This window comes from Homo sapiens, chromosome 12 (assembly GCF_000001405.40).
Source record: "Homo sapiens chromosome 12, GRCh38.p14 Primary Assembly".
NCBI classification, from domain to species: Eukaryota; Metazoa; Chordata; class Mammalia; order Primates; family Hominidae; genus Homo; species Homo sapiens.
In genome coordinates, this window is record NC_000012.12 from 57,927,691 (window position 1) to 57,941,363 (window position 13,673).

At 39.2% G+C, this 13,673-nt stretch overlaps 1 long non-coding RNA gene across 1 annotated transcript, besides 2 other annotated features; it reads right to left on the reverse strand.

Moving 5' to 3' along the window:
* Positions 1-3,758: 3,758 nt before the first annotated feature.
* GIHCG (GIHCG inhibitor of miR-200b/200a/429 expression) lies at positions 3,759-8,474 on the reverse strand. The gene is made up of 3 exons (NR_038269.1): positions 8,149-8,474; positions 7,780-7,863; positions 3,759-4,047 (listed from the first exon to the last, which is right to left on the reverse strand). It is a non-coding gene; the product is annotated as a GIHCG inhibitor of miR-200b/200a/429 expression (long non-coding RNA).
* Positions 7,899-8,399: an enhancer, noted in NCBI's record as "H3K27ac hESC enhancer chr12:58329372-58329872 (GRCh37/hg19 assembly coordinates)". NCBI's record gives its function as "activates a minimal SCP1, AML or CMV promoter by ChIP-STARR-seq in naive H9 embryonic stem cells {active_cell/tissue: H9 hESC(naive)}" and the evidence as "EXISTENCE:reporter gene assay evidence [ECO:0000049][PMID:30033119]".
* Positions 8,400-8,900: an enhancer, noted in NCBI's record as "H3K27ac hESC enhancer chr12:58329873-58330373 (GRCh37/hg19 assembly coordinates)". NCBI's record gives its function as "activates a minimal SCP1, AML or CMV promoter by ChIP-STARR-seq in naive H9 embryonic stem cells {active_cell/tissue: H9 hESC(naive)}" and the evidence as "EXISTENCE:reporter gene assay evidence [ECO:0000049][PMID:30033119]".

A 13,673-nucleotide genomic window follows, 5' to 3' on the forward strand; every position in this document is an offset into this window, starting at 1 on the left:
CGGCCTATATTTAAAGTCTTAAATTCTTTAAAACTGACACAACTCTCACTAGTAATCTTTGACGGATATGAGGGAACCAACTCATTATTTTGATAATTGTTAAATAAAGGGAAAGAATTAAGCATGAATCCTGCCTTTCCCATATAAACTGTATTTTAGGGAAACCAAATATATGTCGGAGGGAAGCTTCTTTTTATAAAAGCATTTCAGCAACTATATGGATGACAGAATTAGAATATCACCATTTTGTAAACCATAATATACGTAAGTAATGATAATCAATAACTGCTAATAGCACATACACCACACACACACACACACACACACACACACACACACCAACCCCAAATAAAAAAGACCACCAACACTAAATTTCGACGGAATGTGGAGCACCTAGGACTTTCTTACATTGCTGGTGGAAATTAAAAATGATACAACCACTTTGAACTGTTTGACAGTCTCTTTTAAAGTTAACTAATCATTTTCACTTCCAAGTACTTACTGAGAAGAAATTAAAATGCCCACAAAAAGATGTGCATAAGAATGTTCAGGGCTGGGCATAGTGGCTCACACCTATAATACCAGTGCTTTGGGAAGGCAAGGTGTGAGGATCACTTGAAGCTAGAAGTTTGAGACCAGCCTGGACAATATAGAGAGACCCCTTCTCTACAAAAATACTAAAAAATTCCAGCCTGGGCAACATAGTGAGACCCTGTCTGTATAAAAAAATTAAAAAATTTAGCCAGGTGGGGTGTTTTGCACCTGTAGTCCCAGTTACTCTGGAGGCTGAGGTGGGAGAATCACTTGAGCCCAGGACGTCGAGGCTCAGCGAGCCAGGATGGAGCTACTACACTCTAGTCTGGGCGACAGAGCGAGACCCTGTCTCTAAAAAAAGAAAAACAAAAAGTTCATAGCAGCTTGATTCCCAAACTATTATTCCCAAACAGTTCAAACTGGAAACACCCCAAATGTCTATGAAAAGGAGAATGGATAAACAAATTATGGTATATTCACATAATGGAATATAACTCAGCAATAAAAAGGATGAACTAGTACATTCATATATGCAACAACATGGATACATTTAAAAAACATTTTGTTGAGTTAAAGAAACTAGACATAAAAGACTACATACTGTATTATTTCATTCATAGGAAGTCTAAGAATAGGCAAAACTATCTGCTATGGTTTTTTTTTTTTTTTTTTGAGTCAGAGTCTCACTCTGTTGCCCAGGCTGGAGTGCAGGGGTACAATCTTGGCTCACTGCAACCTCTGCCTCCTGGGTTCAAGCGATACTTGTGCCTCAGCCTCCTGAGTAGCTGGGACTACAGGTGTGTGCCACCACGCCTGGCTAATTTTCGTATTTTTATCAAGGCAGGGATTCCTCATGCTGGCCAGGCTGGTCTTGAACTCCTGACCTCAAGTGATCCACTCTCTTTGGCCTCCCAGAGTGCTGGAATTACAGGCATGAGCCACTGTGTCTGGCCTGCTATGGTTTAAATGCCTATGTCTCTCCAAAATTCATGTTGAAATTTAATCTCCATTGTGGTGTTATTAAGAGGTGGGGCCATTTGTTAAGTGGGTAAGTCATGAGTGCTCTGCCCTTGTGAATGGGATTGGTGCCCTAATAAAAGAGGCTTCAGGGAGCTGCCTGGTCTTTCCGTCTCTTCTGCCATGTGGGAAAACAGTGCCTCTTCCACCAGGTGAGGATGCAGCAACAAAGCACTACTCTTAGAAGCAGAGACAAGCCCTTACCAGACACTGAATCTGCTGGTGCTTTGATCTTGGACTTCCCAGCCTCTGGAACTGTAATAAATAAATTTCTATTATTTATAAATTACCCAGTGTAGGGTATTTTGTGATAGTGGCATAAATGAACTAAAACACTATCTATGGTGACGGAAATGAGAAAATAGTTGGCTCTGGGCCTGGACAGGAACTGACTATAAAGACCCATGAGAGAACTTTCTGGAGTGAAGGAAATATTCTGTATCTTGTTTTTGGAGGAAGCTACATGGCTGCACGCAATTGTGAAAACTAATTGAGCAGTTACGATCTGTGTATTTTAATTATAACTCAATTAAAAAGTGATAGATTTTATGTGCCTCCTGATGGGTGCACACAAAGTCACTTATGAAATACTACCAACAATTTTGAACCTGAATCTGATCAGGCTCCTAGATCTAAACATCAATTTATAGGAAATAGAGGGAATAAAAAACTCTTATTTAATGACACCTTGGGGATTTGATCTGCAAAACTCAGACTGTGGGAATTATATTGTAGTACTTACACCAAGTAAGGGGCCCCTGTTCCGACCCTCCTCTGGCTGGACCCCTCTACTTAATATAGAATTAAACATTAATTTTAACCCCAGAGAAAAACACCATCAATACTTTTTCATTTGTATCAACATATATTAATCATTAAAAAAGGAACCATATTATGCATATTATTTTACAACTTGTTTTTTAAAAGCAATGCATCTTGGGACATCCTCTTTTGTCAACATACAAGTCTACCTCATTCTTTTTAACATGGTATTGAATTGTATACCACAGTTTTTCTCAGCCTTTTAGACTTTTTTCTTTTTTCTTTTTTGAGATGGAGTCTTACTTTGTCACCCAGGCTGGAGTGCAGTTGCGTGATTTTGGATCACTGCAACCTCTACCTCCCAGGTTCAAGCGATTCTCCTGCCTCAGCCTCCTGAGTAGCTGGGATTACAAGCGCCTGCCACCATGCCCGGCTAATTTTTGTATTTTTAGTACAGTTGCGGGTTCACCATCTTGGCCAGGCTGGTCTTGAACTCCTGACCTCATGATCCACCCACCTTGGCCTTTCGAAGTGTTGGGATAACAGGCATGAGCCACTGCACCCAGTGTAGACATTTTTTTCTTAATTATTACTCTCCCATGAAGTTTCAATACCACATATATACTGTATATTTGTTTATGTGCTTTACACACATATCTATGCTTTAGAAAAAAAAATTTCCCTCAAGAATCAATTTTCACCTCCTTGTTGCGATGTTGCCACCCCGTGAATTCATGATATAGGTATTCCATATCCTATTTCATATGTGTACTACTTTTGATATTCCAATACTGCATTATCTATATTTATACATATATTTTGTTTCTGTAGGATATATTTCTAGAATTGAAAGGCTGTGTTGTTATTAATATTTAACATTTAATTGATATTGCTAAAGACTGTGCCAATTATATGCCAATCAATGTATATTGAGAATCTGGCTTCAATTTTTACACTTAAGTCACAAATCCATTTGAAATTTATTCTGGGAATAAGGTAACGATCTAATTATCTTTCTCCTCTAAATCTAGCTCAATGTACTTATATACTTTACTGGATTAATCTTTTCTTGATGTACCACATATTAAATTTGGTAAGTGCTCTTAGATATATTCAGGCTTTGAATTCTGTTCCATGACTGTTTATTTATTCCATTACCACTCTATGTTTATTATTCTTGTTTTATGCTTTGTTATATAATACAATTTCCTTTTATGAATTCTATTTTCTTGTTTTTTTTTTCATGTTTTTTTTTCTCTCAATGAATTTTGGAGTAATTCTGTTTAGTCCCAAACAAGCAAACAACAAAAACAAGCTCTTAAAATACTTTTGGGATTAATATTGGAATTTTACCAAATTTGCAGATTAACTTAGTGAGACTGTAGAATACTTTTAGAGTACCTTATAGAGTTACATTTAAAATAAGACAGAGAAAAAAAGAAATGTTGATTTAATGATGTATACTTCTATATTAGAATATTTTGAGCTGTCAATGACAAAAATCCAGGTAAAACCCAAGGTTAAGTATAAAAGAGAGTTTATTGGCTCATTCAACGGATAAGTCCAGTGGTAAAACTAGTTTTCAGGCATGTCTGGATCTCTGGGTTCAAACAATGTCATCAGGACTTGGTCTCTCTGTCTTCCAGCTTAGCTTCTTTAGCTTCAATATCAGACAAACCTCCATGTGGTTGCAAAGGTGGCCTGTCTGCTCTGTGTCTGTATGTTCTTTAGCACCTGCAATATAACATCAGAGGGAGAGTTTTTTTTTTTTTTTTTTTTTTTTTTTTTTTAATAGTGCCAGCAGGCCAGGTGCGGTGGCTCACGCCTGTAATCCCAGCACTTTGGGAGGCTGAGGTGGGTGGTTCACCTGAGGTTGGGAGTTCGAGACCAGCCTGACCAACATGGATTAACCCTGTCTTTACTAAAAAAAAAAATTAGCTGGATGTGGTGGTGCATGCCTGTAATCTCAGCTACTTGGGAGGCTGAGGCAGGAGAATCATTTGAACCTGGGAGGTGGAGGTTGTGGTGAGCCGAGATTGTGGTGAGCCAAGATTGCGCCATTGCACTCCAGCCTGGGCAACAAGAGCGAAACTCCATCTCAAAAAAAATATATATATATAAATAAATAGTACCAGCAAAAGTACCAATGATGGTTCTCATTGGTCAGGTCTGAATCAAGTGTAGGAATGGGGGCAGTGTGGGCAGTTGGGAATCAGCCTCACTTGAACCAGCTAAGGCTGGTGAGTGGTGGTTTCCTGAAAGGGATGTGGAGCAACCGAAAAATCAGGAATTATACACCATAATACCTATTTATGTATTTATTTATTAGATGGAGTCTCGCTCTGTTGTCCAGGTGGGAGTGCAGAGGTGCGATCTCGGCTCACTGCAACCTCTGCTTCCTGGGTTCAAGTGATTCTCCTGCCTCAGCCTCCTGAGTAGCTGGGATTACAAGCGCCCATCACCACACTCAGCTAATTTTTATATTTTTAGTAGAGACAGGGTTTCACCATGTTGGCTAGGCTGGTCTTGAACTCCTGACCTTAGGTGATCTGGCTGCCTTGGCCTCCCAAAGTGCTGGGATTATAGGTGTGAGCCACCACGCCCTGCTGATAATACCTGTTTATAAAAAGAGGATTTAAAAGCAACATTAGGAAATATTACTAAGTTGAAGTTCTAATACTATTTTTTAGATTATGAAGTTATTTTAGGGCTAAAGGTGAAAAGAAACCAGGCCATTGGGCAAGAAAACATGATGATAGACATTAAAAAGTTACTTGTAATTGAACAATATTTGTTAGAATTATAATGCTTATTCTTGATGTTACTCTTCCTCCATTTCTTGATCTCATCACTGCTTAGATTCTCCAAAATCTTGCTTCATAAATTTGTCCTGTTTTGCAGCTTAATCTTGTCTTTTATTTTTTTCCCCTGCTCCTAAGGAACCCCATTCCCCACCTCCCTAAACAAATCAACAAGCCTTTCAATTCTACTGCTTTTTATACCTCCTCTTCTTATATTCATTGGCCAATTGTTTAAAGTCATCAGTGATTTCCTTAATCATCAAATCCAATGAACTTGGACCCTCCTTGATGGCTTGCTGTCTCTGTAGTATTTGACAATATTGACAGAACTTTCCTTCTTGAAACCCGGAATCTTAGTTCCTATGAAACCCACTCTCCTGATGTTTCTCTTAGCTTTCTGATGACTTTTTCTCTGTTTACTTTGTTGGTTTTTCTTCTTCACCTTCTTTATATGTGGGTGATTCTCAAGGTTCTGGCTTCAAACTGTTTCACTATTCACTCTTTTTTTTTTTTTTTTGGCAGTTTCAAATACTTTCAAAAGAAGGGTATACACTTTTTTTTTTTTTTTTTTTTTTGAGACAAGAGTCTCACTCTGCTGCCCGGGCTGGAGGGCAGTGGCTGCCTCCCCTGCTCAAGTGATTCTCTTGCTTCAGCCTCCCATGTAGCTGGGATTACAGGTGTGCGCCACCACACCCGGCTAATTTTTGTATTTTTGGTAGAGACGGGGTTTTGTCATGTTGGCCAGGCTGGTCTCAAACTCCTGACCTCAAGTGATCCACGTACCTCAGCCTCCCAAAGTGCTGGGATTACAGGTGTGAGCCACCACACCCAGCCTACATCTTCTATTTAACTGCTTCTGATCAGTTCCTCTCCCAACACCTGTGTGATCTAATCCTAACTGTCCACTATCTAGAAAGACAGAGCTTAACTTCTTAACTTCTTCTAAAAAGATCTTTCCCTTCTGAATCCCATGGTACTTTTTTTTTTTTAATGGCACTACTTTAAAACTTGCATTAGCTCCTTATGTGTTAAGACTTGTCTTACTTTCTGGCCTATAAAGTCGCTTTTCCTTTTTCTTTTTTTTTTTTTTTAAGGAGATGGGGCCCCTGCTCTATAAACTTCTTTAAGAAGATTTTCTTCTTTTTAAACTTTTATTTTAGGTTTGGGGGTACACATGAAGGTTTGTTGTAAAGATTATTTCATCACCCACGTATTAAGCCTAGTACCCAATAGTTATTTTTTCTGCTCCTCTGCATGCTCCCACCCTCCACCCTCAAGCAGACCCCAGTGTTTCTTGTTCCCTTAAGATTTTCTAATTCAACTCTGCATCTCCTATACTGTAAAGCACAGTGTTTTGTATTTTTTCATTTGTTTTTTCAACATACATAAGCACTGACTATGTATTGTGCTAGGAGCTGGGTAAGTGGTTAAAAAAAACCCCGTGCTTTCTGCCCTCAGACAGTTTAGAGTCTCGTGAAAATACATATTGTGATATATAATCAATAAAACTTTATTGAAAGAATGAATCTTACATCTTAAACTCCTTTTTCATCTTCTTTCCCCAAACTCCTGACCTACATTCCTGCGCCCTTTCCCCTGATAAATCCCACAGATTTCTCAAATCCAGCAGCTGAATTGGATTCATGTGCTATGGATACACATAAATAAGTTTGCCCCATGTTCAAGAAACTCACAATAAAGCACCTTCTCTCCCCAAACCTTCTGCTGATTTTAGTATCAATGTTACTAACTCCTTCTTATTACCAAGGGGAAATCTTGGTATTCTTTTTGACTTCTTCCTCTTTTTCATATTTAATTCTTTAATTCAAGCAATTATCCCTCTTGTTGAGGTCCTTTCACCTATAGCAGAGGTTGAAAATTAGTGACCCACAAATTGTATCTAGCTAGTAGAGGTGTTTTGTTTTGTATAATATTATCAAAAATATGATTTTCCTGTTTCTCCTGAAAAATCAGGCAACACTGAGTCCTTATTTTTGCAAGAATTGGCTGGAGTTTTAGATGGGACAGCTCAATCAACTCTAACATTCCAATCTCTATCACTCCTTGCTTTTGTCACATTCAGTCCATTTCCTCACTTATGAAACTTTCTTAGTCCCTAATTTAGGCATCTGAGTTTGCCGTCTCTGGCCTATATGATCATAGACTGTCAGTAGTGGAAGAGATATTAAAAGATCAACTCGTCTAACAGTCTCCTGCTTCCTCTCCCCACTCTTTAAGAGACGGAGAAATGAGGTCTAAAGAGCTTACATTACCCAATCAATTTCATACAGCTAATGTGTAACAGGATTCTATAATATGCCATTAGGCCTCCTCCCTCATACGGATCATGTTAAACTTATATTTTCCCTTTGGTTTAATTGCTAGGAACCTCAGAGCCCAATTTGTGGCACCCCTCTAGTAAATACACGGACCTTTTGGTATGAAGTTTTGGGGTATTAATATACCCCTGGCTTTATTTTGTTTTCCAATTACCTTTACCTCAGTTTCTCTTCATCATTTTCTCCTATTATAGTGTGTATTTTTTTTCCCCAAGCATACTCAATCTTTTGTGAAAGAGGTACATCCGTACAGGCGTAAACTGTCGGGCTGTATTGTCTGGCTCCCAATTTCTTTCTTTCACTGTCATTCTGCTTTGGCTACTCACATTCTCTGTTTTCCTTGACAGCCAAACTTCTTGAAAGAATTGTCTTCACATGCTGTGTCCACTTCATCCTGTCTTTTCAATTCACTGTAAACAGATTTAAAGCCTTCAATGCCTTCTTTGTTGCTATGATATTAATACCAAAATTATATTGTATTCATCCATATATGAAGGACACAAAATGGTTTTCCCTAAATTATCTCAACTATGAAAAAATATGCAGAGAAAAAAATTAATAGGTAATGCATGAAAATGTTACTTCTGGGTAGCTGGATGACTGGTGAGATTTATTTTCTTTTAAAAATTTTCCACAGTTTTAAAAACAAGCGCATTAGAACACATCCCGATGTAAATTAGAAATTCTCAACTTACATTTTCTAAAAGGAGGCAGAAAACTAGAGAAGCGACAGTGAGGAGCCACTGGGCCACACTTCATTTCACCTTAAGACTGACTCAGAGAAAAACAAGAGGGTACGACTCAGATCCCCGGGGCCAGCAGCAGGGCCGCGGGGCACGACTGGATAACCGCTTGTGAAGAAAATTTTAAGAGAGCCCTCACGACCCTTTAGCGCATCCTAAAAGACCTCTGAATATCTCTGCCTCTCCCGCTAACGGCTCCAAACCGCAGATAACGGTCAATCGCCTCCGGTTGTCCTGGTAACAGCCAGCAACCACAACCCTGCCTGCGTAACTCCTCCCAGAACACCGTGCGTCTTATCGCTTCACTTCCGGGTTCGGAGGGCCGACTTCTTCCGGAAGTATCTGCCTGCCAGTCACCTGGCGTTTTCTGGCTGTGTGGCTTTACTAGACAGAATGTGGCGTATTGTTGGGCAGGGCCCTGAGGACCCTTTTGTTGTTTCCCCCCCGTTTAACAGGACTGGAAAGCTAAGCAAAGGCTTTACTCTCACGGAATTGGATGAATTGGACGTTAGTTTTTAAAAAGCCGAAGGGTACATGTTAGCTTTATTTAACCATTCCACAATGTATATATATTTCAAAACATGTTTTATACTATAAATATAATTTTTATTTGTCAACTAAAAAACAGCATTAAGTGTTAAAAGCTGTTAAGTCAGAATATAGAGATGAATCTTTGAAATTAGAATGCTTTATTTGGGAAGAAAATAGTAATTTGGGGCATATATGTAGACTGGGGTGGTCTTCGGGATGTCTGAAGAGTGAAGAGGTTAGAGACTTTATAAGAAGGAGAAATGTTACGTATTGGTCTCCAAGAGAGTTTATTGGCACTATTAATGTTTTGGTGGGGTTGGCAAACTGATTGCTGAGTGACGGTGGTGGGTAAAATTAGTCTTAGAATTGTAGCAGACTGTCTTAGTAGCCTTTAGATTAAATTGGTTTTAAGTGTTAGCAGGCAGTTTCAGCAGCCAGGCCTGTAGAGAATTATATTTTTCAAGTGATATTTGTGACCTGAATGTTTTTTCCCTCTGGCCTCTCCACTCTTTAACTGGTATGACAAAAGTGACCCGATTTATATGATCAACTTTCACAGCTGACAGGTGGTAAACTCTTTACAATTATATGTAATTTATTTGTTACTGTGATAGATTTATACAATTTTAAATAATTTAGTTCCCATTAAAAAAGCAATTATTTTTGCTTTAGAAAATGAAGGCCAAAAAAACCCCCAAAACACAAAACCTCCAAATCCTACCCATTTAAGGACAACCAATGTGAATACTTTGTAGGAGTCTTCCAGACCCTTTCTATGAATTATAGTAAGTACAAATTCAAAATGGAATCATACTGTATATGCTAGTTTGGAACTTAAAAAACTTTTTTTTTTTTGAGACAAAGTTACTGTGTTGCCCAGGCTGCAGTGTAGTGGCCCGATCTCGGCTTACTGCAACCTCTCCACCACCTGGGCTCAAGCAATTCTCCTGCCTCAGTCTCCTGAGTAGCTTGGGATTATAGGCGGCGCCACCACACCCAGCTAATTTTTGTATTTTTAGTAGAGATGAGGTTTCACCATGTTGGTCAGGCTGGTCTCGAACTCCTCATCCCAAGTGATCTGCCTTCCTCGGTCTCCCAAAGTGCTGGGATTACAGGCATGAGCCACCCGCGCCCAGCCTGAATTTTTTTTTTTTTTGAGCTGTTGTCTTGCTCTGTCGCCCAGGCTGGAGTGCAGTGGCGCGATCCCAGCTCACTGAGGCAGGAGAATTGCTTGAACCCAGGAGGCAGAGGTTGCAGTGAGCCGGGATGGCGCCACTGCACTCCAGCCTGGGCGACAGAGCAAGACTCTGGCTCAAAAAACAAAAAAACAAAAAAACAAAACAAAACACCCAAAAACTTTTAATGAACATATTTTGTTTAAAAAAGACACTTAACATGGTTGTATATATTCCATTATACCTCTTGTTGGATATTTAAACAATTGATGTCTTCCCCTGCCGCCCCTTTTTTTTGAGGAGGAGGTGTCTTGCTGTATCACACAGGCTGGTCTTGAACTTCTGGGCTCAGGCAGTCCTCCTGCCTTAGCCTCCCAAATAGCTATGATTACATGCCACTGGCCTGGCCATTTTTGCTCTCAATTAGTGCTGCAATGGAGAAATGAAAATCCTTATAGCTAAATCTTTGCCCTTGCTCTAATTTCTTTGTGGTAATTCTTTTTCTTTTTAAAACTCATTTGTATTTGCTGTTCATTATCTCTTCCTTAATGTGTTTTTATTCCATACCTATGTCTTTATACTGTATACAGATGAAGTTACACATGGCATCCAAAGCCCACTTGATTTTTTAAAGTTTATTTTTCTGATTATAAAGGTAATACATGCTTATTGAGGAACATTAGAAAATTTCAGGAGAATGTAACAAAAAAATTCCAATACCTAGACAACCATTGATACTGTGGTATGAATTTTTTTCCATCTGTTTCTTCAACAATGAGTATTGAAACAGTTTTAGCTAATTTAGTAAGGAAATGTTGCAGCTTTTGGTTTGTACGTTTTTACTTATTCCTGTAGCTGAAGGGTATTGCAAATAGTATCCAGAAATAAAGCCACATACCTACAACCAACTGATCTTAGACAATGACAACAAAAACATATAATGGGAAAAGACACTCTATTTAATAAATGGTGCTACACAAAGTGGATAGACATGCAGAGGAATGAAACTGCACCCCTTTCTTTCACCATATACCAAAATTAACTCAAGATGAATTAGAGTTAAATTTAAGACCTGAAACAATAAAAACCCTAGAAGAAAACCTAGGAAAAACTCTTGTGGAGATTGACCTAGGCAAATAATTTATGAGCAAGTCCTCAAAAGCAAATGCAACAAAAACAAAAACAGACAAATGAGTTTCATTAAGCTAAAAAGCTTCTGCATAGTAAGATAAAGAATCAAATAACCTACAGAATGGAAGAACATATTTACAAACTGTGCATCCAACAAAGGACTAATATCCAGAATCTACAAGGAACTCAACCAGAAAAAACTAAATAACCCTATTCAAAAGTGGGCAAAAGACAGGAATAGACATTTCTCAAAAGAAGACATACAAGTGGCTAATAAACATGATAAACTTCTCAACATCACTAATCATCAGAGAAATGCAGATTAAAACCACGGTGAGATACCATCTTGCACCAGTCAGAATGACTATTATTAAAAAGTCAAAAAACAACCCGATATTGATGAGAATTCAGAAAAAAGAGATTGCCTATACACTGTTGGTGGGAATGTAAATTAGTACAACCTCTGTGGAAACTAGTATGGAGATTTCTCAAAGAACTAAAAATAGAACTACCATTTGACCCAGCAATCTCACTACTGGCTACCCAAAGGAAAACAAATTGTGACTGGGTGTGGTGGCTCATGCTTGTAATCCTAGAGCTTTGGGAGGCTGAGGCAGGAGGATCACTTGATGCCAGGAGTTTGAGACCAGCCTGAGCAATATAGCAAAAAACCTCCATCTCTACAAAAAATTAAAAAGTTAACCAGACATGATGGTGCATGCCAGTAGTTCTAGCTACTCGAGAGACTGAGGTGGTAGGATTGCTTAAGCCCAAGAATTCAAGGCTGTGGTGAGCTATGATTACGCCACTGCACTCCAGCCTGGGTGACAGAGCAAGAACCTGTCTCTGAAAAAGAAAAAAAAAAGAAGAAATTGTTATGACAAAAAGACAAAGACATAGAATCAACCATTAACCTAAGTGTCCACCAACAGATGGTTAAAGAAAATGTGGTTATGCATACACCACGGAATACTATGCAGCCATAAAAATAATGAAATCATGTCTTTTGCAGCAACATGGATGGAGCTGGGGGCCATTATCCTAAGTGAAATAACTCAGAAGCAGAAAATCAAACACCCCATGTTCTCACTTATAAGTGGAAGCTAAAGACTGAGTGCACGTGGACATACAGAGGGGAATAATAGACACTGGGGACTCCAAAAGTGGGGAGAGTGGGAGGGGAAGGGTGAGGGTTGAAAAATTAACTATTGGGTACAATGTTCACTGTTTGGGTGATGGGTACACTAGAAGCCCAGACCTCACCACTACACAATATATCTGTATAATAAACCTACACATAAACCACCTGAATCTATGTATTAAAAAAGAAAGCATGAAAAAAATCCAAATAGTATTTCAAATGTATATAGGCTATGGTCCATTTCTAGGCATATCTAGCCTGCCTTCAGTATTCCAAACTAATCACACTGAATTGTAATGGCTTAGTTTTCCATATGTGTGTTTTAGTTCAATAACTGGATTGAAAGCTAGTTGTGTGGTCCTAGATAAATTATTGAATTTTGCTGAGCCCACTTTATCTGCAAATTAGAGATAATACTTACTTTGCAGGGTTGTAGTGAGGATTGGAAATAATGTATCCAAGGTGAATTTAATTAAAAAGTAGTTACTTTTTTTTTGACTTCTGGCTTTAATAGTCTATGTACATAGGAGTTGTTTGTATTTTTATAATATTCCAGATGAATGACTATCCTAGCATCCCACTCAATTTAGATATTGAGCATCTATGACACATAAAGCACTGTTCATAACCCTAAAGGCCTGCTGAGCCTATATTTTTCAGATATGTTTCTTACATAAACCACATGCTGCTCTTCATCTTTAGCAATTTTCTTAGTCATGTGTTTCCTCAGTCTCTTACACCTTGCCTGGCCCATCATAGTAGGTGCTGAATAAATGTGTGAGCTGAGTGGAATAATTTAGTAGGAAAAGAGAAACACACAAATTGGATAAAACCTGGCAGGCTACGATGAAAATGATTAACAGGTACAAAGTGCTTTGTACATTGGGAGATCAGGAGACATTAATTTTGATTAAGGTATCTGGGAATGCCCTGTGGAGTAGGCAGATTTGACCTGGGCCCCAATCATAGGGGCTGAGGCAAGGAGCTTAAAGATGGAAATGACAGTATGAGTTAAGGCTGAGAGGTAGAAGTAAACAGGGTGCGCTTTGTTATCAGGGAGTTATTGGTGGGGGGTGGGGCAGAAGAGTAGGGTAAACGAATGGGTACAGGTGGGAAGAAAAAATGTAGTTGGTTCCTACATTTTGAGGATTTTGATGTGACTAGTCATTCTTTATAGTTTTAAAACGTTTCTGAAAAACACTGCTTTCAATATGGCCAGAGGCATCTTTGGGCAGAGTGGATCTGAGGGATGGCAGGGGTCGGGAAAGTGGCGGGCCAGAAATGACAACTGGCTTGCCCCGGAAGAAGGCAGGGAGTGGGAGGATGGCCGAGACCTTCGGCGGCACAAGAGCAGTTAGTGGCCAATATTCGCCCCGAGGTGAGGAAGGAGTGTCTGCGAGGAGGCGGGACACCCTTAGAGCTCAGCAGGCAGCAGGAAGCTGCAGAACAACGCTTATAAAGACATGTCACCCACACTGGGAGGGCAGCAGCGAAATCCG